The sequence below is a fragment of the Homo sapiens genome, chromosome 19 (genome assembly GCF_000001405.40).
Source record: "Homo sapiens chromosome 19, GRCh38.p14 Primary Assembly".
Taxonomy (NCBI): Eukaryota; Metazoa; Chordata; class Mammalia; order Primates; family Hominidae; genus Homo; species Homo sapiens.
In genome coordinates, this window is record NC_000019.10 from 10,430,144 (window position 1) to 10,457,329 (window position 27,186).

General features: G+C 53.5%; 1 protein-coding gene across 12 annotated transcripts in view, besides 10 other annotated features; it reads left to right on the forward strand.

The window, feature by feature from the left end:
• PDE4A (phosphodiesterase 4A) overlaps positions 1-27,186 on the forward strand; it is a 52,859-nt gene that overhangs the window by 13,371 nt on the left and 12,302 nt on the right. For 3 of the 12 annotated variants that reach the window (NM_001243121.2, XM_011528055.4, NM_001111307.2), the window contains 6 exons: positions 16,075-16,266; positions 18,774-18,810; positions 18,937-19,007; positions 20,460-20,509; positions 20,686-20,798; positions 24,686-24,779. In NM_001243121.2, coding sequence (NP_001230050.1) covers positions 16,075-16,266; positions 18,774-18,810; positions 18,937-19,007; positions 20,460-20,509; positions 20,686-20,798; positions 24,686-24,779 — 557 coding nt within the window. Of the gene's footprint in view, positions 1-701; positions 944-2,291; positions 2,429-16,074; positions 16,267-18,773; positions 18,811-18,936; positions 19,008-20,459; positions 20,510-20,685; positions 20,799-22,788; positions 23,187-24,685; positions 24,780-27,186 lie in introns of those variants that run through there. The other 9 variants (XM_047438913.1, NM_001111308.1, XM_047438914.1 and 6 more) reach the window with 6 other exon arrangements.
• Positions 469-738: a silencer, noted in NCBI's record as "silent region_10072". NCBI's record gives its function as "represses an Ori minimal core promoter by ATAC-STARR-seq in GM12878 lymphoblastoid cells {active_cell/tissue: GM12878}" and the evidence as "EXISTENCE:reporter gene assay evidence [ECO:0000049][PMID:35858748]".
• Positions 1,734-2,417: an enhancer, noted in NCBI's record as "H3K27ac-H3K4me1 hESC enhancer chr19:10542553-10543236 (GRCh37/hg19 assembly coordinates)". NCBI's record gives its function as "activates a minimal SCP1, AML or CMV promoter by ChIP-STARR-seq in naive H9 embryonic stem cells {active_cell/tissue: H9 hESC(naive)}" and the evidence as "EXISTENCE:reporter gene assay evidence [ECO:0000049][PMID:30033119]".
• Positions 1,734-2,418: a biological region, named in NCBI's record as "H3K27ac-H3K4me1 hESC enhancer GRCh37_chr19:10542553-10543236".
• Positions 1,919-2,078: a silencer, noted in NCBI's record as "silent region_10073". NCBI's record gives its function as "represses an Ori minimal core promoter by ATAC-STARR-seq in GM12878 lymphoblastoid cells {active_cell/tissue: GM12878}" and the evidence as "EXISTENCE:reporter gene assay evidence [ECO:0000049][PMID:35858748]".
• Positions 2,099-2,418: a silencer, noted in NCBI's record as "silent region_10074". NCBI's record gives its function as "represses an Ori minimal core promoter by ATAC-STARR-seq in GM12878 lymphoblastoid cells {active_cell/tissue: GM12878}" and the evidence as "EXISTENCE:reporter gene assay evidence [ECO:0000049][PMID:35858748]".
• Positions 2,418-3,100: an enhancer, noted in NCBI's record as "H3K27ac-H3K4me1 hESC enhancer chr19:10543237-10543919 (GRCh37/hg19 assembly coordinates)". NCBI's record gives its function as "activates a minimal SCP1, AML or CMV promoter by ChIP-STARR-seq in naive H9 embryonic stem cells {active_cell/tissue: H9 hESC(naive)}" and the evidence as "EXISTENCE:reporter gene assay evidence [ECO:0000049][PMID:30033119]".
• Positions 5,646-6,145: an enhancer, noted in NCBI's record as "H3K4me1 hESC enhancer chr19:10546465-10546964 (GRCh37/hg19 assembly coordinates)". NCBI's record gives its function as "activates a minimal SCP1, AML or CMV promoter by ChIP-STARR-seq in primed H9 embryonic stem cells {active_cell/tissue: H9 hESC(primed)}" and the evidence as "EXISTENCE:reporter gene assay evidence [ECO:0000049][PMID:30033119]".
• Positions 6,354-6,423: an enhancer, noted in NCBI's record as "active region_13970". NCBI's record gives its function as "activates an Ori minimal core promoter by ATAC-STARR-seq in GM12878 lymphoblastoid cells {active_cell/tissue: GM12878}" and the evidence as "EXISTENCE:reporter gene assay evidence [ECO:0000049][PMID:35858748]".
• Positions 16,117-16,206: an enhancer, noted in NCBI's record as "active region_13971". NCBI's record gives its function as "activates an Ori minimal core promoter by ATAC-STARR-seq in GM12878 lymphoblastoid cells {active_cell/tissue: GM12878}" and the evidence as "EXISTENCE:reporter gene assay evidence [ECO:0000049][PMID:35858748]".
• Positions 20,962-21,071: a silencer, noted in NCBI's record as "silent region_10075". NCBI's record gives its function as "represses an Ori minimal core promoter by ATAC-STARR-seq in GM12878 lymphoblastoid cells {active_cell/tissue: GM12878}" and the evidence as "EXISTENCE:reporter gene assay evidence [ECO:0000049][PMID:35858748]".

Sequence of the window (27,186 nt, forward strand, 5' to 3'; positions counted from 1 at the left end):
GGGGTTCTGGGATCTGAAGGGTTTTCCCTGGGCTCTCAGAGCACCACTGGCAGGGAGTTTGTGGGAGTGCCCCCAGAGATTTGGGGGCATCCCTGGCATTTGTGGATGCACCCTGGGATTCTCAGGGCACTCCTGGGGCTTGTGGCATGTCCCAGAAACAGTGAGAATACTGCTAGGATTATGGGGGCATCTGGAGAGCTATGAGAGTGCCCTAGGGTTTATGAGGGTGTCTCAGAACACCTCTAAGTTGTGCTGAGAAGCCCCGGGATTTGGGGGGGTACCCCTGGACTTCTTGTGTGGGGTTGTCTCAGGGACAATGAGGGTGCTCCTTGGGATTCTGAGAGACTGTGGGGTGGCTCCTGGGGCTTGTGGGGCCTGTCAACACCACGGGGAGTTTGCAGGAGTGTCCCCACAGATTTGGGGGTGTCCCTGGTGTTTGTGGGGACGCGTCCGGCGATTGTGAGGACATTAGAGCCAACGCGGGCGGCTTTGGGGTCTGCGGGAGAGTCCCCACCAGAGCCGTGCGGGCGCCCCAGACCCGCCCCGCCCTGGGGGCGGCTCCAGCGCGAAGCCGGAAGGGCCGAGGCGACAGGGCGGGGTGGGGCCCGCGGGCCCGGGGCTGGGCAGGCGGCCTGCGTGGGCCTGGCGGGGTGGGCGGCGCAGCTCCCCAGCGCCCGCCGAGGCGGGGCCGCCCCGCGGCCATGGCGCGGCCGCGCGGCCTAGGCCGCATCCCGGAGCTGCAACTGGTGGCCTTCCCGGTGGCGGTGGCGGCTGAGGACGAGGCGTTCCTGCCCGAGCCCCTGGCCCCGCGCGCGCCCCGCCGCCCGCGTTCGCCGCCCTCCTCGCCCGTCTTCTTCGCCAGCCCGTCCCCAACTTTCCGCAGACGCCTTCGGCTTCTCCGCAGCTGCCAGGATTTGGGCCGCCAGGCTTGGGCTGGGGCTGGGTAAGTGCAGCGCTGGTGGCCGTGGGTTCAAGTCGCCCCTGGCCACCTGGCGCACTCCAGGGTCTAGGGTTCGTGGCTCACTCTCTCCAGCCTCACTTTCCTCTTCTGTCACATAGCAGCGATCAAAATCATCCCTGACCGCCAGGGTTGCCCTGGAGACCTCTGATAGGGCATGCAGTAGACGTTTAATAAATGTTGCATCCTTCCCACTTCCTGTGCAAACCTGAAGCTGCGGTCACGCTTTGGAGGAGTGAGGGCGACCTGCCATCCAGGTCATGTGTTCATCCTGGGGTATGTGTTCAGTTCTGTCAGCCTCAGTCTACTGGCCTGTGAAATGGGGCCAGTCATGCCTTCTGTGGGTGGCCTTGCGGTGAGGCTTGGTGTCACTCCTAGTACCGGGCCACAGAGGGCAAATGGAAGTTCCCTTTCTGGCCAGACGGGGTGGGCTGCGGGGGCTTGAAGTCTGGGAGTGACAGGCCCCGAGGCCACATCCAGTCTGGCTTTCTAATGTCCTTATATCCTGGAGGCAGAAGTTGGCAGCCCGGAGTTGGGCACTGGCTGGCCCTGGGGGCTTCTCCGGGTCCTCAGCCTCCCCCTCTTCCACCTACTTTCCACGTGCAATTGAGGCACAGACTGAAGGAGGGCACGGCGGGGCAGGACCGGGCCCAGCGACTGGCCCCAGGAACGAAATGGGGCGGGGACAGAAGAGGAAGAGGGGCCAGGGCCTTTGGGAGCCCCGCGTGGGGTCCGCAGGGTGTGTGTAGGGAAATCGTTGCTTCTCTCCGGGTCTCTCTCTCTGCGTCCTGCGTCTCTGTCTCCACTTCTGTCTCTTCTGTCTCTGTTTTGTTTCTCCTTCCCACCGCTGAGCTGCACCTTCCCCTCCCCTGGGTTTATGTCACCCGGCCCCACACTCGAGTCCCGTTTCCCCGGGGGCGCACGGCGATCAGCGATCAGAGACCTCGAGCGGGCCCAGCTCGACGTCAGGGCGGGGAGGGGGGAAAGGCGGGGCCGGAGGCGGTGGCAGGAGGGCGGGCCCGGAGCCGGGAAACCGGAGCCCCGGGGCACCCCAGAGGCCTAGGAGGGAGGAGACGGGGGGGGGGGGGGGAAGTGTGCGTCCGACTCCGCAGGACCCCTGCAGGGGGAGGCAGACAGAGCGCCCGTGCGCTCCCCTCCCCCGTGCAGACCCGGGAACGCTCGACCGCCCGGGGCTGTCCCTGGGGGGGTCACCAGAGGCGTGGAGGCGGTGCCGGCAGTGGAGGCCGCAGACACCTTGGGCCTGGCCAGCAGCGCGCGCCACACCGCCCTGCCGCCGTCCCCATGCGCGCCCCGACGACGGCGCTTGGCTCCCATGCGCTCCGGTGCAGCGCCCCGGGCCCGGCCCCGGCCCCCTGCCCTGGCACTGCCCCCCACGGGCCCCGAGTCCCTGACCCACTTCCCCTTCAGCGATGAGGACACCCGTCGGCACCCTCCGGGCAGATCTGTCAGGTGGGTGGCCCGTGGCCAGTCAGTCCTCTCTTTTAATACTGAAGGGCACTGGCTGTGCTGGGGGGGTGGGGGTGCTGAGTCTACCTGGGTGAGTCCCCTAAGTGGCTTCCAGGATCTGGCTGGGGCCCCACCCCCTTTCCTGGCTCTAAAGGCCTGGGGTGCTGCTGAGGGCTTCTTGAAGGTGGCAGCCCTCAAAGTGGGTGCTGGGTCCATTCCTGCCTATCCAAGGTAGGACCCGTCACCCTCTTTGTGTCCTTAAACCTGAGCTTCTGGCATTCACTTTGGCTGCAAATATGGGTGTCCAGCGTCACCTGGGCTCCACTCCCAGGCCACTGGCCTAGAACCAGATCCCTAAGTCCCTGCCTGGCTCAGTGTCTCCAGCCTTACCTTCCCCACCCCCTCTCATGCTGGAGCTGCCAGGCTGAAAACCAAGCTGGGTTGGGGGTGGGGAGGGGAGATTCTGGGTCTCATGGAGGGTGTTTAGAATAGGCTGGACTGAGCTGGGGCTGTGAGTGGCCTTTAAGTTCTCAGAATTCTCAGGGGTTTCTAGCCTTGTTCTTGCTTTCCTGCTCCATGGTCTCTAACACAGACACACACACAGGGCCGCACACAGGGCAATCCGGGTCACCTGGTGTTTACCGTACTAGGTATGGGTCTCCTGGCTGCACCAAGAGGACCCTGCAGTTGACTCATGGCCACACACAGGTGACACACAGACCACAGCAACCCTGGCCCAGCCCTCGCACATCCTCGTCTACACTGCGTTCCTCCACAGTGGGGGACACTGTATTTTGGTGAGACACATTCTCACAAAAATACACACCCAGGGCCCACACATGTTCCTGTATGCTGTACTCCCACCTGCACCAGATACACACAGGAACGCACCCCGTGCCCACACAGGGGTCAGGGACTGTCACAGTATCAGTGCGACACGGTCTCATAAAGTCACCCAGACTCAGAAATACACAGATAAAGACACAGAGATGCACACAGGCACCCATGAGCACCCAGCCCCTGCTCACACAGGCAGATGTGCGATGCCACAGAGATGTCTATGTGTGATGCCCGGGGGCACACAGACCTCCCTCTCCCCCAGTCTCTTACATACTCAGCCCCCCAAAGAGCTGTGTCACCTGGCACTACGCGCCTGCCTGGGAGACACACACCAGCACCCGCCTTCAACCTCCATGTGACCTTCACAAAGCAAATGCCAGGCCTTTCCATAAAGGCTGCCTGGCACCACCTACAAGTGAGTCAGGTGGAAAAGCACGGGGAGCCGGGGGAGACACCAGGCCTGCCTGCCCTGTGCGCCCCGGGGGAAGACACTCGTCGCAGCTTTGTAGCTCAGCTGCCTGGGTTCAAATCCACATTCTAGGCCGGGCGTGGTGGCTCATGCCTGTAATCCCAGCACTTTGGGAGGCTGAGGTGGGAGGATGGCTTGAGCCCAGGAGTTTGAGACCAGCCTGGGCAACATAGTAAAACCTCATCTCTACAAAATAAATAAATTTTAAAAGAAATCCATGCTCTGCTACTAATAACCATAGTATTTATCCTTTATGTGCCTCAGTTTCTTTCTTTCTTCCTTCCTTCCTTCCTTTCTTTCTTCCTTTCCTTCTTTCCTTCTTTCTCTCTTTCTTCCTTTTTTTTTTTTTCAGGGTCTCGCTCTGTCACCCAGGCTGGAGTGCAGTGGAGTGATCTTGGCTCAATGCAACCTCTGCCTCCCGGGTTCAAGCAATTCTTGTGCCTCAGCCTCCCAAGTAGCTGGCATTACAGGTGTATGCCACCATAGCCCAGCTAATTTTTTTGTATTTTTAGTTTAGATGGGGTTTCTCTATGGTGGCCAGGCTGATCTCAAACTCCTGGCCCTAAGTGATCCATCCACCTTGGCCTCCCAAAGTGCTGGGATTACAGACGTGAGCCACCGTGCCTGGCCTCAGTTTCTTTGTCTGGAAAATGGAGCATTAATGCATGTTACAGTATAGCACAATGCCTAGCATGTGGTCTTCACATAAGTTTGTTTTTTTTTTCTTTCTTGAGATGGAGTCTCACTCTGTCACCCAGGCTGGAGTGCAGTGGTGCGATCTTGCCTCACTGCAATCTGTGCCTCCTGGGTTCAACCAATTCTCCTGCCTCAGACTCCCAAGTAGCTAGGATTACAAGCGCCCCGCCACCACGCCTGGCTAATTTTTATATTTTTAGTAGAGACAGGTTTCCCCATGTTGGCCAGGCTGGTCTCGAACTGCTGACCTCAAGTGATCTGCCCGCCTTGGCCTCCCAAAGTGCTGGGATTACAGGCATGAGCCACTGTGCCCAGCTTTTTTTTTTTTTTTTTTTTTTTGAGACAGCATCTCTATCATCCAGGCTGGGATGCAGTGGTATCATCTCTGCTCTCTGCAACCTCTGCTTCCCAGGCTCAAGCGATGCTCCAACAGGCATGAGCCACGGCGCCTGGCCATAGTTCTTGTTATTATAATCTTTACCAATGTGTTCGTTTCCCCCGCCCCCGCTCCCTAGCTTGTTTGTGTCCCGTCAGTCCCTGCAGTAGTCATCCCCCAAGGCCTAGACTCTCCCTGGGCTGCATAGCCCTCAACAAGCCCAATTTCATGCTCCCAAAAGCCCTGGTGGGAAGGCCTAGGGGCCACGTGGAGGGGGAAACAGGTAGCAACTTCATCTGAAAGTGTCACCAAATGATCAGCCTGAGGCCAGATGCAGTGGTCATGCCTATAAACCCAGCATTTTGAGAGGGCGAGACTTTGGGAAGCAGATTGCTTGAGTCTAGGAGTTCAAGACCAGCCTGGGCAACATGGTGAAACCCCATTTCTGCTTAAAAAAAAAAATTAGCTGGGTGTGGTGGTGTGCGCCTGTGGTTCCAGCTACTCAGGAGGCTGAGGTGGGAGGATCGCTTGAGCCTGGGAGGCTGAGGCTGCAGTGAACCATGATCGCCCCACTGCACTGCAGTCTGGGTGACAGAGCAAGACCCTGTATCAACACACACACACACACACACACACACACACAAACAAACAAACAAAAAACAATGATTAGCCTGCCTAAGAGGGAGTCTTGGGCGGGTCACTTCACCTCCAATGGAGCGTCTGGGCATGTGGCTGTGATGTAAGGCTGGCAGCTACCCCTGTGTCTGGGTTGCAACCTTGGGTCCCATGGGGATGTTGCTGGAGTGGCCTCTGGCCTAACTTTGGGCCACCCTGAGCAGTCAGTGGCAAGCCAGGGAGGGGTGACTCTCCATGGCTCAGGGATCTGATTCTGGGGCATCACTGGCCCTGACTCTCCCCTATCCCCACCAGCTCCCAGGCAGCAGTTCTATAGCCCTGTCCCCTCCCCTCTGTCCTCCCTCAGCCCAGGGGACATCGGGTCTTGAAACAGAAACAGCAGGGCCCCAGGGAGTGTCCTCTTCCCATCCAGGCCTCTGGGCTCCTGCTGACGTGAGCTGAGTCCCTTGGGGCTGGTGGATGTGCCAGGATGTGCTAGCTGGGCACCTGCTTGGGAACAGAGTCTCACCATCCTAAACTGCAGCTTAAATCCTAGGCCGGGGAGTTGGAGGTGTGTAGCTATGTTCCTCTCGCCTTCTCTGGAGCTGAAAAAAAATCCACCTTAGGAGACAGGACACAGTTCTCAGACAATGAAGCCACCAACCCCTTGTCTCCTTATGCCATGGGAATGTTAACAGGACTTATATGTTGCCAGGCGCAGTAGCTCACACCTGTAATCCCAGCACTTTGGGAGGCCGAGGCAGGTGGATCACCTGAGATCGGGAGTTCAAGACCAGCCTGACCAACATGGAGAAACCCCGTCTCTACTAAAAATACAAAATTAGCCGGGCATGGTGATACATGCCTGTAATCCCAGCTACTCGGGAGGCTGAGGCAAGAGAATCTCTTGAACCTGAGAGGCGGAGGTTGCAGTGAGCCGAGATGGCGCCACTGCACTACAGCCTAGGCAATAAGAGCGAAACTCCGTCTCAAAAAAACAACAAAAACCAGGACCTATATGTTAACTTATAGAGTGGGTTGGAGCCCTCTGTCGGTTAATGTGTATAAAGCACTTTCATAATGCCAGGCACACAGCAAGCATTCAATAAATGTCTTGTTATTATTACTGTATGCCTGAAAGGATCTAACCTGGCACCCAGGACACAGCAGGTGCTCAACAAATGGACACTATTGGCTGGGTGCAGTGGCTCACGCCTGTAATCCCAGCACACTGGGAGGCTGAGGCGGGTGGATCACCTGAGGTCAGGAGTTCGAGACTGGCCTGGCCAACATGGTGAAACCCGTCTCTACTAAAAATACAAAAATTAGCCAGGTGTAGTGGCGCACACCTGTAGTCCCAGCTACTCGAGAGACTGAGTCAGGAGAATTGCTTGAGCCCGGCAGCAGAGGTTGCAGTGAGCTGAGATCACATCACTACACTCCAGCCTGGGTGACAGAGTGAGACTCCATCTCAAAAATAAATAAATAAATAAATAAATGGACATTATCATCAAAGGTCCAAGCTGATGATCTATGATTATCTCACCTTAAGAACCTTAAGAGTGGCTTTTTTTGTTTGTTTGTTTTTTGAGACTATCCCCTAGGCTGCAGTGCAGTGGCTCGATCTTGGCTCACTGCAATCTCCACCTCCCAGGATCAAGTGATTCTCCTGCCTCAGCCTCCTGAGTAGCTGAGATCACAGGCGCACACCAGCACGCCAAGCTAATTTTTGTATTTTTAGTAGAGACGGGGTTTCACCATGTTGGTCAGGCTGGTCTCGAACTCCTGATCTCATGATCTGCCCGCCTTGGCCTCCCAAAGTGTTGGGATTACAGGCGTAAGCCACCGTGCCCGGCCTTTTTCTTTTTTTTTTGAGATAGGGTCTCACTGTATCACCCAGTCTGGAGTGCAGTGGCATGATCACAGCTCACTGCAGCCTCCAAATCCTGGTCTCAAGCAATCATCTTGCATCAGCCTCTTGAGTAGCTGGGACTATACACATGCACCACCATGCTCAGCTAACTTAAATTTTTTGTAGAGACAGGGTCTTGCTATGTTGCCCAGGCTGGTCTCAAACTCCTGGACTTAAGTGATCCTCCCACCTCAGCTTCTCAAAGTGCTGTGATTATAGGAATGAGCCATTCTGCTTGGCCCATTTTATCCATTTTCGAGTGTATAGTTCAGTGGCATTAAGTACATTCACATTGTTGTGCAACCATCACCACCATCCATCTCCAGGACTGTTTTTTTTTTTTTTTGAGACAGGGTCTCACTCTATCACCCAGGCTGGAGTGCAGTGGCATCATCACTGCTCACTGCAGTCTATACCTCCAGGGCTCAGGTGATCCTCCCACCTCAGCCTCCTGAGTAGCTGGGACCACAGGCGCACACCATCATCATGCCTTGCTAATTTTTTTCATTTTTTGTAGAGATAGGGCCTTGCCATGTTTCCCAGGCTGGTGTTGAACTCCTGGGCTCAAGCAATCCTCCCGCGTGGGCCTCCCAAAGTGCTGGGATTACAGATGTGAGCCACTTCACCCAGCCTCCAAGACTTTTTTTTTTTTTTTGAGACGGAGTCTCGCTCTGTCGCCAGGCTGGAGTGCAGTGGCGCAATCTCGGCTCACTGCAACCTTCGCCTCCCGGGTTCAAGCGATTCTCGTGCCTCAGCCTCCTGAGTAGCTTGGATTACAGGCACGCACCACCACACCCAGCTAATTTTTGTATTTTTATTAGAGACGGGGTTTCATCATGTTGGCCGGGATGGTCTCGCTCTCCTGACCTTGTGATCCGCCCGCCTCCGCCTGCCAAAGTGCTGGGATTACAGGCGTGAGCCACCACACCTGGCCAGGACTTTTTAATGTTCTCAGACTGAAACTTTAAGCACAAACACACCATTTCCCTATCTCCCCCAGCCGCTGGCACCCACTCTTCTACTTTCTGTCTCTGAGTTTGAGTACTCCAGGGACCTCATATAAGTGGAATTTCCTGTGCACTATTTGTCTTTTTCTGACTGGCTTATTTTACTGAGCATAATGTTTTTTTGTTTGTTTGTTTGTTTTTGAGACAGAGTTTCACTCTTATTGCCCAAGCTGGAATGCAATGTCCCAATCTCGGCTCACTGCAACCTCCACCTCCCAGGTTCAAGTGATTCTCCTGCCTCAGCCTCCGAGTAGCTGGGATTACAGGCATGTGCCACCACGCCCGGCTAATTTTGTATTTTTAGTAGAGACAGGGTTTCTCCATGTTGGTCAGGCTGGTCTCGAACTCCCAACCTCAGGTGATCCGCCCACCTCATCCTACCAAAGTGCTGGGTCACTGAGCATAATGTTTTCAGGGTTCATCCATGTTGTAGCCTGTGTCAGAATTCCTTTCCTTTTTAAGGCTGAATTCTATTCCATTCAATGGATATAACACATTTTGTTGATCCATTCATCTGTTGATGGACACGTCAGTCACTTCTACCTTTTGGCCATCGTGAATTACGCTGCTGTGAACATGGGTGTACATGTATCTGTTTGAGATCCCCACTTTCAATTCTTTTGGGGATAGACCTAGGAGTGGGATTGCGCGGTTGTGTGGTGATTCTACGTGTTTGTTTGTTTTGAGGGTTTTTTGTTTGTTTGTTTGGTTGGTTTCTGACAGAGTCTCATTCTGTCGGCCAGGCTGGAGTACAGTGGTGTGATCTCGGTTCACTGCAACCTCCGTCTCCCGGGTTCAAGCAATTATCTGGCTGCAGCCTCCCGAGTAGCTGGGACTACAGGTGCCTGCCACCACGCCCACCTGATTTTTGTATTTTTAGTAGAGATTGGGTTTCACCGTGTTGGCCAGGCTGGTCTCGAACTCTGGACCTCAGGTAATCTGCCCGCCTCGGCCTCCCAAAATGCTGGGATTACAGGCGTGAGCCACCGCACCTGGCCTACAAACATTTTTGATTGGGGTTACAGTGGTTCTCTCAACAGCAGGTAGGAATGGATTGTTTGTGAGTGGGGAGGAATCGGAGCAGCAGAGAGACCTGGTTGGAATGGAGAGTGCAGCAGGTGAGAGAGGAGGTGTTGTGACCTCAGGGATGCGAAGAGTCCAGGCCTTCAATAAGGTCTGTCTCTGGAACTCAAATCTGAGGCCCAGGAGGCGGGTCAGAGGCTGAGAGACGGGGTGGATGGAGGTAGGAGTGCCTCCTGGCTCCACAGTCCCTTCTCTTGGAGTGAAGAGACCAGCTGTCTGGAGGGGAGAGCAACTGGGAAACAGGACACGGGTAAAGGCCAGTTACAAGTGGCATCCTGGAGAGAAGGTGGCTCAGGACACAGCTGTCCCCAAAATACCCTCCTTGGCATTGCATGCAGGGGATGGAGGAACCCTAAGATCTTCAAAAGTAAAAGGCCCTTCAGGAACCATCCTAATAGGCGTGACATGGTATCTCCTTTTTTTTTTTTTTTTTTTTGAGACGGAGTCTTGCTTTGTCACCCAGGCTGGAGTGCAGTGGCGTGATCTTGGTTCACTGCAGCCTCTGCCACCCGGGTTCAAGCAATTCTCCTGCCTCAGCCTCCCAAGTACCTGGGATTATAGGCACCCACCACCACACCTAGCTAATTTTTGTATTTCTAGTAGAGACAGGGTTTCGGTATGTTGGCCAGGCTGGTCTCAAACTCCTGACCTCAAGTGATTCACCCACCTTGCCTCCCAAAGCGCTGGGATTACAGGCATGAGCCACCTCACCAGACCTGTATCTCTTTCTTTTGATTTGCGTTTCCCTGATGAGTGATGTTAAGGATTTTTTTTCATATGTTTATTGGCTGTTTTAATATCTTTTCTGCAGATATGCCTATTCAAGTCATTTGCCTATTAAGTCAAATTATTTACAATTTATTATTTATTATTTTGAGACAGGGTCTCACTCTGTTGCCCAGGCTGGTGTGCAGTGGCACGATGTCAGCTCACTGCAATCTCTGCCTCCCGGGTTTAAGTGATTCTCCCACCTCAGTCTCTCTAGTAGCTGGGATTACAGGTGAGAGCCGCCATGCCTGGCTAATTATTTTATTTATTTATGTATTTTTTGAGACAGAGTCTCGCTCTGTCATCCAGGCTGAAGTGCAATGTCGCGATCTCAGCTCACTGCAACCTCCACCTTCCGGGTTCAAGCAGTTCTCGTGTTTTAGCCTCCCCAGTAGCTGGGATTACAGGCACATGGCACCACGCCCGGCTAATTTTTGTATGTTTAGTAGAGACAGGGTTTTCACTGTGTTAGCCAGGATGGGCTCGATCTCCTGACCTCGTGATCCACCCACCTCGGCCTCCCAAAGTGCTGGGATTACAGGCGTGAGCCACCACGCCCAGCCAATTTTTTTTTTTTTTTTTTGGTTGAGACGGGGTTTCACCATGCTGCCCTGGCTGGTTTCAAACTCCTAGACTCAAGTGATCCGCCCACCTCGGCCTCCCAAAGTGCTGGGATTACTGGTCTGAGCCACCAGGCCTGGCCTATTTATTTTTGAAACAAAGTCTCCCTCTGTCGTCCAGGCTGGAGTGCAGTGGTGCGATCACAGCTCACTCACTACAGCCTCAAACATCCCAGGCTCAAGTGATCCTCCAGTCTTAGCCTCCCAGTAGCTGGGACTGCAGGCACACACTGCCATGCCTGGCTAATTAAACAAGTTTTGTTTTTTTGTGTTTTTTGTTTCTTTGTTTCTTTGTTTTTGAGTAGCTGGGACTATAGGTGCACACCACCATGCCCGGCTAATTTTTGTATTTTTAGTAGAGACGGTTTCGCCATGTTGTCTGGGCTGGTCTCGAACTCCTGACCTCAAGTGATCTGCCCGCCTAGGCCTCCCAGAGTGCTGGGATTACAGGCGTGAGCCACCGTGCCCAGCCCTTTTTTTTTTTAAGAGATGGGGTCTCACTATATTGCCCAGGCTGGCCACAAGCTCCTGGTCTCAAGCCATCCTTCCACCTCAGCCTCTGTTGATACACAAAAGTCTTTCATTTTGTTGAAGTCCACTTGTTTGTTATTGTTGTTGCCTGTGCTTTGGTGTCAAATTCAAGAAATCATTGCCAGATCTAATGTCATGAAGCTGCTAAGAGTTTTATAGTTTTGGCTCTTATGTTTAGGTATTTGGTCATTTTGAGTTATTTTTTTTTTTTTTTTTTTTTTTGAGATGGAGTCTCGCTCTGTCATCCAGGCTGGAGTGCAGTAGTGTGATCTCGGCTCACTGCAACCTCCGCCTCCTGGGTTCAAGGGATTCTTCTGCCTCAGCCTCCGGAATAGCTGGGATTACAGGCACCCACCACTACGCCCGGCTAATTTTTGAATTTTTAGTAGAGACGGGGTTTCACCATGTTGGCCAGGCTGGTCTCGAACTCCCGACCTCAGGTGATCTGCCCGCTTCAGGCCTCCCAAAGTGCTGGGATTACAGGCATGAGCCACCACGCCCTGCCTTGAGTTAATTTCTGTATGTGGTCCACCTCTTCAGTTTTCCCAGCACCATCGTTTTGAAAAGACAGTTCTTTCCCCATTGAGTAGTCTCTGGGGTTAGACTAGTAGGTAGATTTCAGGCTATGCTCTGAGTGGGTGCAAGTGGAGAGGGAGAGAGGATAGGAACCCCCCGCTTCCCCTTTCTAGGTCAGCCTATAGAGAGTCACCATAAGACTTTACTGGAATGGTCTCTCTACTAAGAAATAAGTTTGAAATCTCCTAGGCCTGCCAGGCACCTATAATCCCAGCACTTTGGGAGGCTGAGGTGGGCAGATCACTTGAGGCCAGGTGTTTGAAACCAGCCTGGCCAACGTGGTGAAACCCTGACTGTACTAAAAATTCAAAAATTAGCCAGATGTGCTGGTGCATGCCTGTAATCCCAGCTATCCGGGAGGCTGAGGCAGGAGAATTGCTTGAACCCGGGAGGCAGAGGTTGCAGTGAACCGAGATCGCGCCACTGCACTCCAGACTGGGCGACAGAGTGAAATCCTGTCTCAAAAACAAAACAAAGCAAAACAAAAATGTATAAGAAGACACGCTTTAGGCATAGCGTTTCATGTCTGTAATCCCAGCACTGTGGGAGGCCAAAGCGGGAGGATCTCTTGAGCCCAGGAGTTACAGACTATCCTGGGCAACATATTACTATTACTATTATTACCTTATTATTATAATTACTTATTACATATTACCTTATTACTATTATTACATATTACCTTATTACTATTATTACATATTACCATATTACTATTATCACATACTACTAATATATGTAATATTACTAATATTACATATATAATATCAGTAATATTATATATAGTAATATTATATACATGCATGTAATATTAGTAATAGTGCATATACATGTATGCAATATTAGCAATATTGCATATGCATATATAATACTAGCAATATTGCATATGCATGTGTATGTAATATTAGTAATATTACATATTACATATTACCAATATTACATATTACCTATTACTACAAAAAATTCAAAAATTATCTGGGTGTGGTGGCACGTGCCTATAGTCCCAGCCACTCCCGAGGCTTAGGTGGGGGGATCGCTAGAGTCCAGGAGGCTGCAGTGAGCTATGATGGTTCCACTGCACTCCAGCCTGGGCAACAGAGTGAGACCCCATCACTAAATGATAAGCTGCAAACTTGGAGAAAAATACATGATAAGGGATTTGTATCCAGAATATATAATGGGCCAGCCATGGTGGCTCACGCCTGTAATCCCAGTGTTTTGGGAGCCCAAGGCAGGTGGATCACTTGAGGCCAAGGTGAGGGCATTGCTTGAGCCCAGGTGTTCCAGACCAACCTGGACAACATGGCGAGACCCCATCTCTACAAAAAATACAAAATTTATCTGGGGGTGGTGGCATGTGCCTGTAGACCCAGCTGCTTGGGAGGCTGAGGTGGGAGGATTTCTTAAGCCAGGGAGGTGGAGGTTGCATTGAGCTGAGATTGTGCCATTGCACTTCAGTCTGGGTAAGAGAGTGAGACCCTGTCTCAAAAAAAAAAAAAAAAAAAATTAGCTGAGCTTGCTGGCGTACACCTGTAGTCCCACCTACTTGGGAGGTGGAGGTGGAGGATAGCTTGAGCCCAGGAAGTTGAGGCTGCAGTGAGCTGGGATTGCCCTACAGGACTCCAGCCTGGGCGATAGAGCGAGATTTCATCTCAAAAAAACACCAGGCCAGGCGCAGTGGCTCATGCCTGTAATCCCAGCACTTTGGGAGGCCGAGGTGGGTGGATTACTTGAGGTCTGGAGTTCGAAACCAGCCTGGCCAACATGGTAAAATCCCATCTCTACTAAAAATACAAAAATTAGCCAGGTGTGGTGGCAGGTGCCTGTAATCCCAGCTACTCGGGAGGCTGAGGCAGGAGAATTGATTGAGCCCAGGAGGCAGAGGTTGCAATGAGCCAAGATCGCATCACTGGACTCCAGTCTAGGTGACAGAGCAAGACTGTCTCAAAAAAAAAAAAAAAAGATAAATATAGATTATGTCAAGTAAGTAGTGGGATTTTAGTTTGTGTGTGTGTGTTTTAAGGAAGAGAAATAGTATTGGGCTGGGCACGGTGGCTCACGCCTGTAATCACAGCACTTTGGGAGGTAGAGGTGGGCAGATCACCTGAGGCTGGGAGTTTGAGACCAGCCTGACCAACATGGAGAAACCCCATCTCTACTAAAAATACAAAATGGGCTGGGCATGGTGGCCCACACCTGTAATCCCAGCACTTTGGGAGCCTGAGGCAGGTGGATCACCTGAGGTTGGAAGTTCCAGACCAGCCTGACTGTGTCTACTGAAAATACAAAATTTGCCAGGCGTGGTGGTGCATGCCTGTAATCCCAGCTACTCGGGAGACTAAGGCAGGAAAATCGCTTGAACCCAGGAGGCGGAGGTTGCGGTGAGCTGAGATCGCGCCATTGCATTCCAGCCTGGGCAACAAGAGTGAAACTCCATCTCAAAAAAAAAAAAAAAGTATTATGGTTGAAATTTTAGCTGGGTTGGTCAGGGGAGGCTTCTTTGTGGCAGTGACATTTGAGCAGAGGCCTGAAGGAGGGAAAGAGGAGCCGCTGCAAATCTGGGCTGGAGAAACAGCCTGTGCAAAGGCCCTGAGGCAGGACTGTGTCTGAGATTTTTTTTTTTTTTTTTTGAGATGGAGTCTTGCTCTGTTGCCCAGACTGGAGCGCAGTGGCAAGATCTTGGCCCTCACTGCAACCTCCGTTTCCTGGGTTCAAGTGATTCTCCTGCCTCAGCCTCCCAAGTAGCTGGGATTACAGGCATCCACCACCACGCCTGGCTAATTTTTGTATTTTTATTAGAGATGGGGTTTTGCCATGTTGGCCAGGCTGGTAGAGAACTCCTGACCTTCAGTGATCTGCCCACCTTGGCCTCCCAAAGTGCTGGGATTACAGGCATGAGCCACCTCACCCCGGCCTGTGTCTGAGATTTTTAGGGAACAGTGAGGAGGCCATTGTGGCTGGAGCAGAATGAGTGAGGGGGGAAGGGAAAGTCGTGGGACAGGACCTGTGAGCTGCAGTGAGGACTTTGGATTTTGCCCAGAGTAAGGTGGGATCCATCGAAGGTTCTGAGCAGAGGGAGGACTTGACCTCATTCAGGTGTTTCCAAGCTCGCCCTGGTGGCCACTGAAGAAAGACTGGGGGTTGAAAACAGGAGGTGGGTACTAGGGCAGAGGTGAATGCAACCAGTCCTGGCTGAGGGAAGCTGACCAAGGAGTGGGTGAGAAGTAGACAGATTCTGGATAGATTTTGGCACCAAGGCTGATTTGAGGTACGAAGGAAAGAGTGAATGATCCCATAAATTTTGGCCTTGGGGTGTCCCCAGCACAGCAGTGGGGATGGATGCACACCGGTGCTCAAGTTCCATCTTTGCAATTCTGTGTCTCCCGTCTCTTTTAGGGCATCTGTCTTTCTTTAACATCCTCCACTTGGTTGGGCGCAGTGGCTCAGGCCTGTAATCCCAGCACTTTGGGAGGCCAAAGAGGGAGGATCACATGAGGCCAGGTGTTTGAGACCAGCCTGGCCAACATGGTGGAACCCCATCTCTACTAAAAATACAAAAATTAGCCAGGTGCGGTGGTGCATGTCTGTAATCCCAGCTACGCAGGAGGCTGAGGCAGAAAAATCACTTGAATCCGGGAGGTGGAGGTTGCAGTGAGCCAAGATCACACCACTGCACTACTCCAGCCTGGGCCACAGAGCGAGACCATACCTCAAAAAAAAAAAAAAAAAATTCTCCACCTGAATGTCTGCCAGGAATTCCCTTAGGCTCCTCATCCCACCCCCACCTTTTTTTTTTTGAGACATTGTCTTGCTCTGTCACCCAGGCTGGAGTGCAGTGGCACGATCTTGGCTCACTGCAACCTCCGCTTCCTGGGTTCAAGTGATTCTCATGCCTCAGCCTCCCGAATAGCTGGGATTACAGACACCTGCCACCATGCCCGGCTAATTTTTGTATTTTTAGTGGAGACAGGGTTTCATCATGTTGGCCAGGCTGGTCTCGAACTCCTGACCTCAAGTGATTCACCCCCACTTGGCCTCCCAAAGTGCTGGGATTACAGGCATTACAGGCGTGAGCCACCGCACCCGGCCTCCTCATTCCTCTTGACCTCCCTAATAGCGTTTCAGCCTCCTGACCCCTCTTCTCGCCCATCCCCTGCAGCTTCGAGGCAGAGAATGGGCCGACACCATCTCCTGGCCGCAGCCCCCTGGACTCGCAGGCGAGCCCAGGACTCGTGCTGCACGCCGGGGCGGCCACCAGCCAGCGCCGGGAGTCCTTCCTGTACCGCTCAGACAGCGACTATGACATGTCACCCAAGACCATGTCCCGGAACTCATCGGTCACCAGCGAGGCGTGAGCATCCTTCTCCCCACATGCCAGTTCCCCCAGGCCTGGTCCTGCTGGAAGCTGCCCTTCCCAGCAGGGAGTCGGGGGGCACCCACCCCTATCCTCCTCAGCACTCCCAACCTGTCCTCCCCAGTGAAGGGTAAGCAGCACCCTGCCCCTCCTATAAAGGGCTCAGTTCCTTTTTTTTTTTTTTTCTTTTTTTCTTTTTTGAGACGGAGTCTCGCTCTGTCGTCCAGGCTGGAGTGTAGAGGTGCCATCTCAGCTCACTGCAACCTCCGCCTCCTGGGTTCAAGCAATTCTCCTGCCTCAGCCTCCCGAGTAGCTGGGACTACAGGCACCAGCCATCATGCCTGGCTAATTGTGTATTTTTAGTAGAGACAGGGTTTCACCATGTTGGCCAGGCTGGTCTCAAACTCCTGACCTCAGGTGATCCGCCTGCCTTGGCCTCCCAGAGTGCTGGGATTACAGGCGTGAGCCACCGCGCCTGGCCTCAGTTCCTTTTTTTTTTGAGACGGAGTGTCTCTCTGTTGTGTTGCCCAGGCTGGAGTGCAGTGGTGCGATCGCGGCTCACTGCAAGCTCCTCCTCCCAGGTTCACGCCATTCTCCTACCTCAGCTTCCCGAGTAGTTGGGACTACAGGCACCCGCCACCATGCCTGGCTAATTTTTTTGCATTTTTTAGTGGAGACGGGGTTTCACCGTGTTAGCCAGGATGGTCTCGATCTCCTGACCTCATGATCTGCCCACCTCAGCCTCCCAGATTGCTGGGATTACAGGCATGAGCCACCGCGCCTGGCCTCAGTTCCTTTTTTTCTCTTTTTTTTTTTTTTTTTTTTTTTTTTGAGACAGAATCTCACACTGTCGCCCAGGCTGGAGTGCAATGGTGCAATCTCGGCTCACTGCAAGCTCCACCTCCCGGGTTCATGCCATTCTCCTGCCTCAGCCTCCTGAGTAGCTGGGACTACAGGTGCCTGCCACCACACCCGGCTAATTTTTTCTATTTTTAGTAGAGACGGGGTTTCACCTTGTTAGCCAGGATGGTCTCGATCTCCTGACCTCATGATCCGCCTACCTCGGCCTCCCAAAGTGCTGGGATTACAGGTGTGAGCCACCGCGCCCGGCCCTCAGTTCCTTTTTTAAAAAATATAATAGTGATCGGGTCTCACTATGTTGCCTAGACTGGTCTCAAACTCCTGGGCTCAAGCGATCCTCCCACCTCAGCCTCCCAAAGTGCTGGGATTGCAGGCATGAGCCACCCTGCCCGCCCTCAGTTACTTTATAGCATGTCCAGCCAGAAAGGTGTGAGTGCCCACCCACTGTATCCTCCCACAGTGTGTACATCTCACCTGACCCACCCTCTGCCCTTCCTCCAGGTTTTCCTAAGCTAACCTCCCTTATCGTGACACTTGTTGAGGTGTGAGTTCCCCCTGAACCTGCTCAGCCTCTTCCTCTCTCACTGGGTTCCTCCAGGCCTTTCCACCAGCCATTGCTGTACACACCTCAACCCACTTGGTCCCCTTCCTGTTCACTGCTCCCCTCATCAAGCCCCGCCCTTGCAACATATTCACCTCGGGTCAGGCTTGGAAGCTCACACTCATAATCCTAGCACATTTGGAGGCTGAGGCAGAAGGATTGCTTGAGCTCAGGATTCTGAGACCAGCCTGGCCAACATAGCAAGACTTCATCTCTTTTTTATCTCTCTCTTTTTTTTTTTTTTGAGATGGAATCTTGCTCTGTCACCAGGCTGGAGTGCAGTGGCGCGATCTTGGCTCACTGCAACCTCTGCCTCCCGGGTTCAAGGGATTCTCCTGCCTCAGCCTCCCAAGTAGCTGAGACTACAGGCGTGCGTCACCACACCCAGCTAATTTTTGTATTTTTAGTAGAGACAAGGTTTCACCATGCTGGCCAGGATAAGATGTCATCTCTTTAAAAGAAAAAATAAATAAATAAAAAGGTCAGGCACGGTGGCTCACGCCTATAATCCCAGCACTTTGAGAGGCCAAAGTGGGTAGATTGTTCCAGGCCAGGAGTTTGAGACCATCCTGGCCAACATGATGAAACCCAGTCTCTACTAAAAATACAAAAATTAGTGGGGCGAGAGGCACATGCCTGTAATCCCAGCTTCTTGGGAGGCTGAGACAGGAGAATCGCTTGAACCTGGGAGGCGGAGGTTGCAGTGAGCTGAGATCATGCCACCACACTCCAGCCTGGGTGACAGAGTGAGACTCTGTCTAAAAAAAAAAAAAACACCCAACCATATTCACCTCTCCCCTCTCCCCTTTTCCACTTTGTCTCTTCTCCCCGGACCTACCTGAGCCACACTCCTTGACTGCCATTTCTTCCACGATCAGCCCTGGACACATATCCACCCTTATGCAGTACAAGTGTTCTTTCCCTAGGTCCCACAGAGTCCCCTCCCTCCCTCTCAGCCTCCCTGGGTCCAGCCTCACAGGGCATCTACCCCAGACAGTTGCTTCTCTGCGGACCCCTGACCTGCCTCTGTCCTCAATCACAGGCACGCTGAAGACCTCATCGTAACACCATTTGCTCAGGTGAGACCTCTTCCCAAATGGTTAAGGAGAGAAGGGGCTCCAATGCTCCGCCACACTTGGGGACAGGGCCCAGCCCCGCTGCCTCTCTAGGGGAACCCCACTCCTCACTGCCGCTCCCCATCCCAGGTGCTGGCCAGCCTCCGGAGCGTCCGTAGCAACTTCTCACTCCTGACCAATGTGCCCGTTCCCAGTAACAAGTAAGTGAAGGCTGGGCTGCAACAGCTGTGATCATAAGGTGAAGCATATGCGGGTTCTGCTCTCAGCCCTGCTGTGTGACCTCTGGCAGGCAGGTGACCTCTCTGAACCTCTGTTCAGACAACAGCTCCCAGAAAGCCAGAGAGCCATTGCAGGTCAAGTGCCTAAGACACAGAGGTGTTTTTTGTTTGTTTGTTTGTTTTTTGTTTTTTGTTTGTTTGTTTGTTTTGAGATCAAGTCTCACTCTGTCACACAGGCTGGAGTGCAGTAGTGCGATCTTGGCTCACTGCAACCTCTGCCTCCCGGGTTCAAGCAATTCTCCTGCCTCAGCCTCCCGGGTAGCTGGGATTACAGGCATGCACCACCACACCGGGCTAATTTTTGTATTTTTAGTAGAGATGGGGTTTCACCATGTTGGCCAGGCTGGTCTCAAACTCCTGACCTTTGGTGATCCACCCGCCTCAGCCTCCCAAAGTGCTAGGATTACAGGTGTGAGCCTCTGCGCCCGGCCCAGAGGTTTTTATAAATAAAGATTTAGGGGTCTGGATGCATGGTGGTGAGGCCACAGCCACAGTCCCCAGGCCCACCCTGGGTCTTGACACCAAGTTGCTGGGCAAATGGCATTCCATGGTGCTTCTGTTGCCCTTCTGCAAAGTGATGATCACAGCCAAGCGTGCTGGCTCATGCCTGTAATCCAGCACTTTGGGAGGCCAAGGCAGGAGGTCACTTGAATTCAGGAGTTCAGGACCAGCCCAGGGGAAACAAAATGAGACCCTGTCTCTAAAAAAAAAAAAAATTAGCCCAGCATGGTGGCATGTGTCTGTGGTTCCCACCTACACAGAAGGCTAAGGCAGGAGGATAGTTTTGAGCCCAGGAGGTTGAGGCTGCAGTGAGCTGTGTTCCCACCACTGCACTCCAGCCTGGGTGACAGAGCAAGACCCTGGTTCAAAAAATAAATAGATAAATAAAGTGAGGATTACAATAATGCCTCCCTTAGATAACTGCTGTGAGGAGAGGAGATGATGTCTAGAAAGTGCTAGAATATTGCCCTGCGTACATAGGAGTGGATCTTAATTGTTTCAGTGCAAGAGATGTGGCTGAGAGCTGCCAGTCCTTCTGGGGGTGGGGGATAGAGACATCCTTAGGGGCTTGGAGGATTTGTGGAGAGTTAGGCAAGAGAGCAGAGATCTTGGAAGCCCAGGACCTGACCTTAAGGCGGATCAGCCATGTGGTCTTGAAGAAGCTGTTTCACCTCCTTGAGCCTCAGTTTCCACATCTATAAAATGGATTTTTCTGGGACTCATTGAGGCTGCAGGCAGAGTACATGGCAGCGTCCTTAGGACACGGTGAGTTTTCAGACAAATGAAAATTGGCACTGTTCATGAAAGCGGGAGGCAGGGACCTGGTGGGGGGACCCAGGCTGACATTGCAGCCCCATTTTTTTTTTTCTGCAGGCGGTCCCCGCTGGGCGGCCCCACCCCTGTCTGCAAGGCCACGCTGTCAGGTAGCTAAGCCCAGAGGGGTGGGAAGGGGCCCCCCTTGCTGCCCCAGTGGGGGTCCCTCAGCCCCTTCCCCACCCAGCAGTCCACTCACCTGGCGAACCCCGTCACGGCGGTCTGGAGCCTCTGGGCTTCTGCCTACAGACCTTCTCAGTCACTACCCTGGCTGCCCCTTCCTTAGAAGAAACGTGTCAGCAGTTGGCCCGGGAGACTCTGGAGGAGCTGGACTGGTGTCTGGAGCAGCTGGAGACCATGCAGACCTATCGCTCTGTCAGCGAGATGGCCTCGCACAAGGTGTGCAGGTGGTGGGCAGAACCCCTGGGCGGGGCAGGCGGGGGCGGGGCCAGTGGGTAGAGCCAACCGCTGGATGGGACCAGTGGGCGCGGCCTGCGGATGGAGCCAGCCATTAGGTTGTTCCTGTGGGCGGAGATAGCTACTGGGTGTGGCTGATTAGGGCAGGGCCAATCCCTGGGCGGGGGCTGGTGGAGCTGGGCCCTATGGATGGAGCCAACCACTAGGTTAGGCCTGTAGCCGAGGCCAACTATTGGGCGTGGCTCATGAGGGTGGGGCCAATCTCTGGGTAGGGTCTATGGTATGGGGTCAGTCCCTGGGTGGGGCCAACCCCTGGGCGGCAGCTTCAAGGCTTGAAGCTCCTGTAGATTATGACTTTCCCCAGGGCTGGAGGAGCCTGGTGTGTGTTGTGGGGTGGGGTGTGTCTGTCTGGTTGTACATGTGTCAATAGGTGACCGTTTCCGTTGGGGGGTTTTATGCTTTTATGGTCTGCGGGGGTGTATCTGCGGCTATAGGTCTGCGTAGCCGCTGGTTTATTGGCTACGCATTTGCAGCGCTGGGGTGTTGGGAATAGATTCTGAAGAGTGGCACGCCAGTGTGTACTTGTGTAGGTGTATAGGTTTGCACGGGTAATTATGCAGGGTTATAGGTGTGTGGGGCTGTGCCAGAGGGGTGCGCATGTCTGCAGGGGAGAGTTGGACCAGATGGGAAACTGAATGTGTAGCTCTATGTGTTTGTGAATGTGTGTGTTTGCAGGGCCGTAGGGGTGACTGCAATGCTCCCATGTACAGTTGTGCAGACGGTGCACTGCACAACTCCAGGGGACACCATTCAGGAAGCAGGCAGTATGTGTGAATGATGCTTCCTGGAGTTGGAGAGAGTGGTAACAGCCCTTGTGGGCGGGTGCCTATCAAGAAATGATCTGTAGGTGGGAGTGTCTTTGTTGGGGGGTGCTTACAGCAGTGGGTGGAGGCTTGTATAGGAACATAGCAGTCTGAGGGCGATTGTGTCCCTGAGGGTGGATCAAGCATCTGAAATGTAGCTGTGTCTTTGGATATGGGTCTGAGGATGTTTCTGCAATGGTGTGTGTGTGTGTGTGTGTGTGTGTGTGTGTGTGTGTGTGTATTTTTGCATCTGTGAGTATATTTCCTTATGGATTTGTCGGGATATGTTTGTGTCCAAGGGCAGTGGATATTTGCAATGGTTGGAAAGTGTGTCTGTGGGTGTGTTTAGTGTGTGTCTGTAAGTGTGGCTGGCTGGGGAGGCCAAGGCGGGCGGATCACCTGAGGTCGGGAGTTCGAGCAGCCTGACCAGCATGGAGAAACCCCGTCTCTACTAAACATACAAAATTAGTCGGGTGTGCTGGAGGGTGCCTGTAATCCCAACTACTCTGGAGGCTGAGGCGGGAGAATTGCTTGAACCTGGAAGGCGGAGGTTGTGGTGAGCCGAGATCGTGCCATTGCACTCCAGCCTGGGCGACAAGAGTGAAAACTCCGTCTCAAAAAAAAAAAAAGAAATGTGGCTGGTATCTCGGTGTCTGTCTATAGGTGTGGGTCTGGATGTGGGTCTGGATGTGGGTCTGTGCCCTTGGATGGGGCGTGTCTGAAGGCATTTGCTATATGCTCAGCTGTGGACCTATAAGTGTGTTGGACATCAGAGTTGTGACTGTCTCCGGGTGTGTGTGTGTGTGTGTGTGCTGTAAGTGTACAACAGAAAGCATTTGAGTATCTGTGTATATTCAAGTGTCAAGTGCCTGGATGTGTGTGGGTGTCCCTGGAAGGTGTGTCTCAGGGTGTTTGTACATCTGTGAGTGTAAAGTGGATGTGTGTTTCTGTCTCTGGGTGTGTCCATGGAGGGGATGGGTCCTGATGGGGACAGCCCACCTAGGTTCTGGCTGAGGCCCATGGGCTCTGATGCCCCTTTAATACCCCCCCACCCCCAGCACCACCTGACATCCCATGCAGCCTGCCAGTGCTGCAGTGAGCACACACGCACACACACGGGTGCACACACAGAGCTCCGCAGCCTCCTCCTGGGACCCTTGCCCTGCCCCCCTCCCATGGGCACGGACCCCCCACCGCCTCCACCCACTGCCGCGGGGGGGCCCGTTGGGGCCCAGGGCTGGCGGGCCATGTAACCAGGGCTGCTGCTGGGAGCGCGGAGGGGAAGGGAGCCCCCAGCCCTGCTGGGCCGGCCCAGGCCCCTCCGCGGCTCCCCCTTCCACTACCCACCTGCCCGGCACCCCCTCCCCAGTGGTTGTTAACCCCGGGACTCCCCAAGCCCAGCCTCTGTGTGCAGCAGCCCCAGGCGGGCTAAGTCTCCAAGATGCCCTTGGTGGATTTCTTCTGCGAGACCTGCTCTAAGCCTTGGCTGGTGGGCTGGTGGGACCAGGTAGGAGAGTGCAGGGTAGGGGGTGGGCGGGCATCCTGGTGAGCTGGGCCCCCGGTGTGGGCTTGTGTGTGCAGCTGTGCACGTGTGTGGCCTGGAGATGAAGCCTTGTGACTGTCTCTGTGTGTGGCCCAGGGCTGGGCGTGGATGGCGGGCAGCTGGGGGTGTGTGACTCTCCCTGGGGGTGGACTGCGGGTCCCTCACTGGGTGTGACTGTGTCAGTGCCTGGATGTGTGTGTGTGTGTCTGCGATGGTGTGTGTCTGCCTGAGTATAGGCTTGTTTGCCTGGGTCACTGTGTGGCCCTGTCTGAGATCATCTGGCTCTGACCATGGTGTTGTGTGTTGGGTTGTGTGTCTGAGCCCAGAGCTGCCTGATATTTTGGGGACATGTGACCCCAAATGTCAGTGACCGCCTTATTTTGCATGCCCTTTGATCTGTGTGTCTGGGCTGTGTGACGCTGTGTAGGACTGAGAGCCTGTGATTGTGTGTGTGGTTGTGTGAGATTTTGTGGGTCCATCTTGTGTGGATGTGTGTGTCTCTGTACCCAGGGTCTCTGGGTGGCACCGGGAGGAGGGAGCACCCCGTCCAAGCCTGGGCCATGCAGGCTCACCCCTCCTGCCAAGTGTCCCTCCTGCTTCCCTGGACAGAGTCTGCTCCTGCTTTTGGGGTGCTGTGGCAGAGCTTGGGGGTGGGGAGCCAATGCCCTTTCTCCTCTGTGTACAATGTCACAGCAGAGGCCTGTGCAGAGTGGCATGGGGGGACCAGGAGGGGCCTCCAAGCCCGGTTTTGGGTATACTCTGTTCATCTGTGCATCTGTCCACCCTTCTGGGGTTGGGGGAGAGTGGGCTATGATGAGAACCCCCCTCCCCCTCCCCTGGGTGATCAAACTGGGATTTCCTCAGCTCACCATTCTCCCCTACCCCGGCCAAACCTTTTTGTCCCCCAGAGCTTGGCTACCACGTTCCCTTTTTCCAAACTGAGCTGGAGGCCAGGAGCCAGGACCCCCAGGATTGGGGTCCATGTCTGGGAACACTTGGGTCAGGGGCAGCTCTAGGAAGGCAAGGGTTAAGGGGCCTCCGGCTTGCCCCCCTTTTCCCCAGCTCAGCAGCTGGTTGGAGGGGGAGTTGCTAAGGAGACTCCCATCGCCATGGCGACGGGATTCTCCTGCTTCCCTATTGGCTCCCTGTTAGGCAGGAGCCCCTCCCTTCCACAGGTGCCCCTCTAGCTCCTCCTTGGGGGAGATGAGGAGGGAAGCCCCTCTTTCCTCAGGCAGGGAGGGTTATGCTGACCATGACTCCCCAAACCTGGGGACCTCCATCCAGAGCTGGGAGGACAGGAAAGGCTGACCCCAACCCCCCAGCAGTCTTATAGGGGCTCTGTTGGCTGAGCAGAAAAATAGGAGGGACTCATGGGGTCTTCAGGCGTTCTTGGGAAGGACTGACACCCTCCTCACCACTGTGCTTCCCCCATCATTTCTTCCTTGTTGACTCCTTTACCTTAGTTCAAAAGGATGTTGAACCGTGAGCTCACACACCTGTCAGAAATGAGCAGGTCCGGAAACCAGGTCTCAGAGTACATTTCCACAACATTCCTGGGTGAGTGAGGGGAAGCACGTGGGATTGGAGGGGGGACATTTGGGGTAGAGAGGGGGCTGCCCCTGACCGTGGGTCCTGTTGCTCACATCTTCCCAGGGACTCTGACTCTCAACTCCCCAAAGGTCACAGTCACCCTATCCAGGAACCCTCATGTTCCTGATGCCTCCAAACTCTGTGGGACCCCCAGCTTCTATAGAGCCCAACATCTGAAATCATCTGTGAGCTTAAAACCCTTCTAAACTTTAAAAAGCCTCCAAGCGCCGGGCGCGGTGGCTCACGCCTGTAATCCCAACACTTTGGGAGGCTGAGGCAGGCGGATCACTTGACATCAGCAGTTTGAGACCTGCCTGGCCAACATGGTGAAACCCCATCTCTACTAAAAATACAAAAAATTAGCCAGGCATGGTGGTGGGTGCCTGTAATCCCAGCAACTCAGGAGGCTCAGGCAGGAGAATCGCTTGAACCCAGGGGGTGGAGGTTGCAGTGAGCCGAGATCGCTCCATTGCACTCCAGCCTAGGCAACAAGAGTGAAACTCTTGTCTCAAAAAAAAAAAAAAAAATATTAGCCGGGCATGGTGGTGTGTGCTTGTAATCTCAGCTACTTGGGAGGCTGAGGCAAGAGAATCTCTTGAACTCAGGAGACAGAGGTTGCAGTGAGCCAAGATCACACCACTGCGTTCCAGCCTGGGCAATAGAGTGAGACTCCGTCTCAAAACAAACAAACAAACAAACACCTCTTTGTTTTAGCACTCACTTGAACCCGGGAGGCAGAGGTTGCAGTGAGCTGAGATCACGCCACTGCTGCACTCCAGCCTGGGCAACAGAGTGAGACTCTGTCTCAAAAAATAAACAAAAAAAAAAAGCCTCCAAGCTGAAAAGCCTCCTGAACTGAGTAGAACCCCAAATTCAATAGAATTTCCAAACTTGGATTGACTCCCTTCCAAACTCAGTAGACACACCCAAACTCAAGAGAGATGCCCAAACTCAGTAGAGTTCTCAAACTTAAGGGAAGTTCTGTGCTTCCGAGTCCACAAAAGGCCCCCCAACTTTAGCAACCTCCAAACTGAAAAACCCCCAAATTCAATAGGATCTCCAAACTTGGTATGACCCCCCCCCAATTCAGTAGACTCCCAAAATGTTAGAACCCTAATCTCTAGAAGATTATCAAGCTTAAGAACCTGTAAGAGGCAGGAAGAGGCAGCTCTTGCCTATAATCCCAGGACTTTGGGAGGCTGAGAAAAGAGGATCGCTTGAGCCCAGGAGTTCAAGACCAGCCTGGGCAACATAGTGAGAATCTGTCTCTACAAAAAAAATTAAAAACTAGGCCGGGCGCAGTGGCTCACGCCTGTAATCCCAGCATTTTGGAAGGCCGAGGTGGGCAGATCATGAGGTCAGGAGTTCAAGACCAGCCTGACCAACATGGTGAAACGCCATCTCTACTAAAAATACAAAAATTAGCTGCGCGTGTTGGCACACACCTGTAATCTCAGCTACTCAGGAGGCTGAGGCAGGAGAATTGCTTCAACCTGGGAGATGGAGGTTGCAGTGAGCTGAGATAGCGTCACTGCACTCCAGCCTGGGTGACAGAGTGAGACTCCATCTCAAAAAAAAAATAAATAAATAAATAAATAAATAGAATAAAAAACTAGTCGGGCATGGTGGCGTGTGCCTGTGGTCCCAGCTACCTGGGAGGCTGAGGCAGGAGGATCACTTGAGCCCAGGAGTTCGAGGCTGCAGTGAGACATGATTGCGCCACTGCACTCCAGCTTGTCTCAAAAAAACTAACACCTGTAAGATTCCTAATTCAATGGAACCCCAAATGCACCAGAATACCCCGATTTCACTGGAACCCTTAAGTTCATGGGTACCTCAAAACCCTCAAGCTAGAGATATTCCCCCAAACTCAGGATAATTTAATCCTCGCAGTTTATCACTACACTCCAAAGGCCCCCAAATTCGGGAACCGCCCAGACAAGCTCAAGAAAAGTGTTGGGGCTGGGTGCGGTGGCTCACGCCTGTAATCCCAGCACTTTGGGAGGCCGAGGCAGGCGGATCACTTGAGGTCAGGAGTTCAAGACCAGCCTGGCCAACATGATGAAACTCCATCTCTACTAAAAATGTAAAAATTAGCCGGGCGCGGTGGCGGGTGCCTGTAATCTCAGCTACTCGGGAGGCTGAGGTAGGAAAATCGCTTGAACCCGGGAGGTGGAGGCTACAGTGAGCCAGAGATCGTGCCACTGCACTCCAGCCTGGGCGACAGAGCGAGACTCTGTCTCAAGAAAAAAAGTGTTCGGTGTTTCCAGTACTCCCACCAGTGAGGGTGTGTCTCTGAGTTCTGAGGATCCACCCAATGGGAGCATAACATGTAAATGACCCGTATTAGGCCTTTTCATTGACTAGCTAGCTC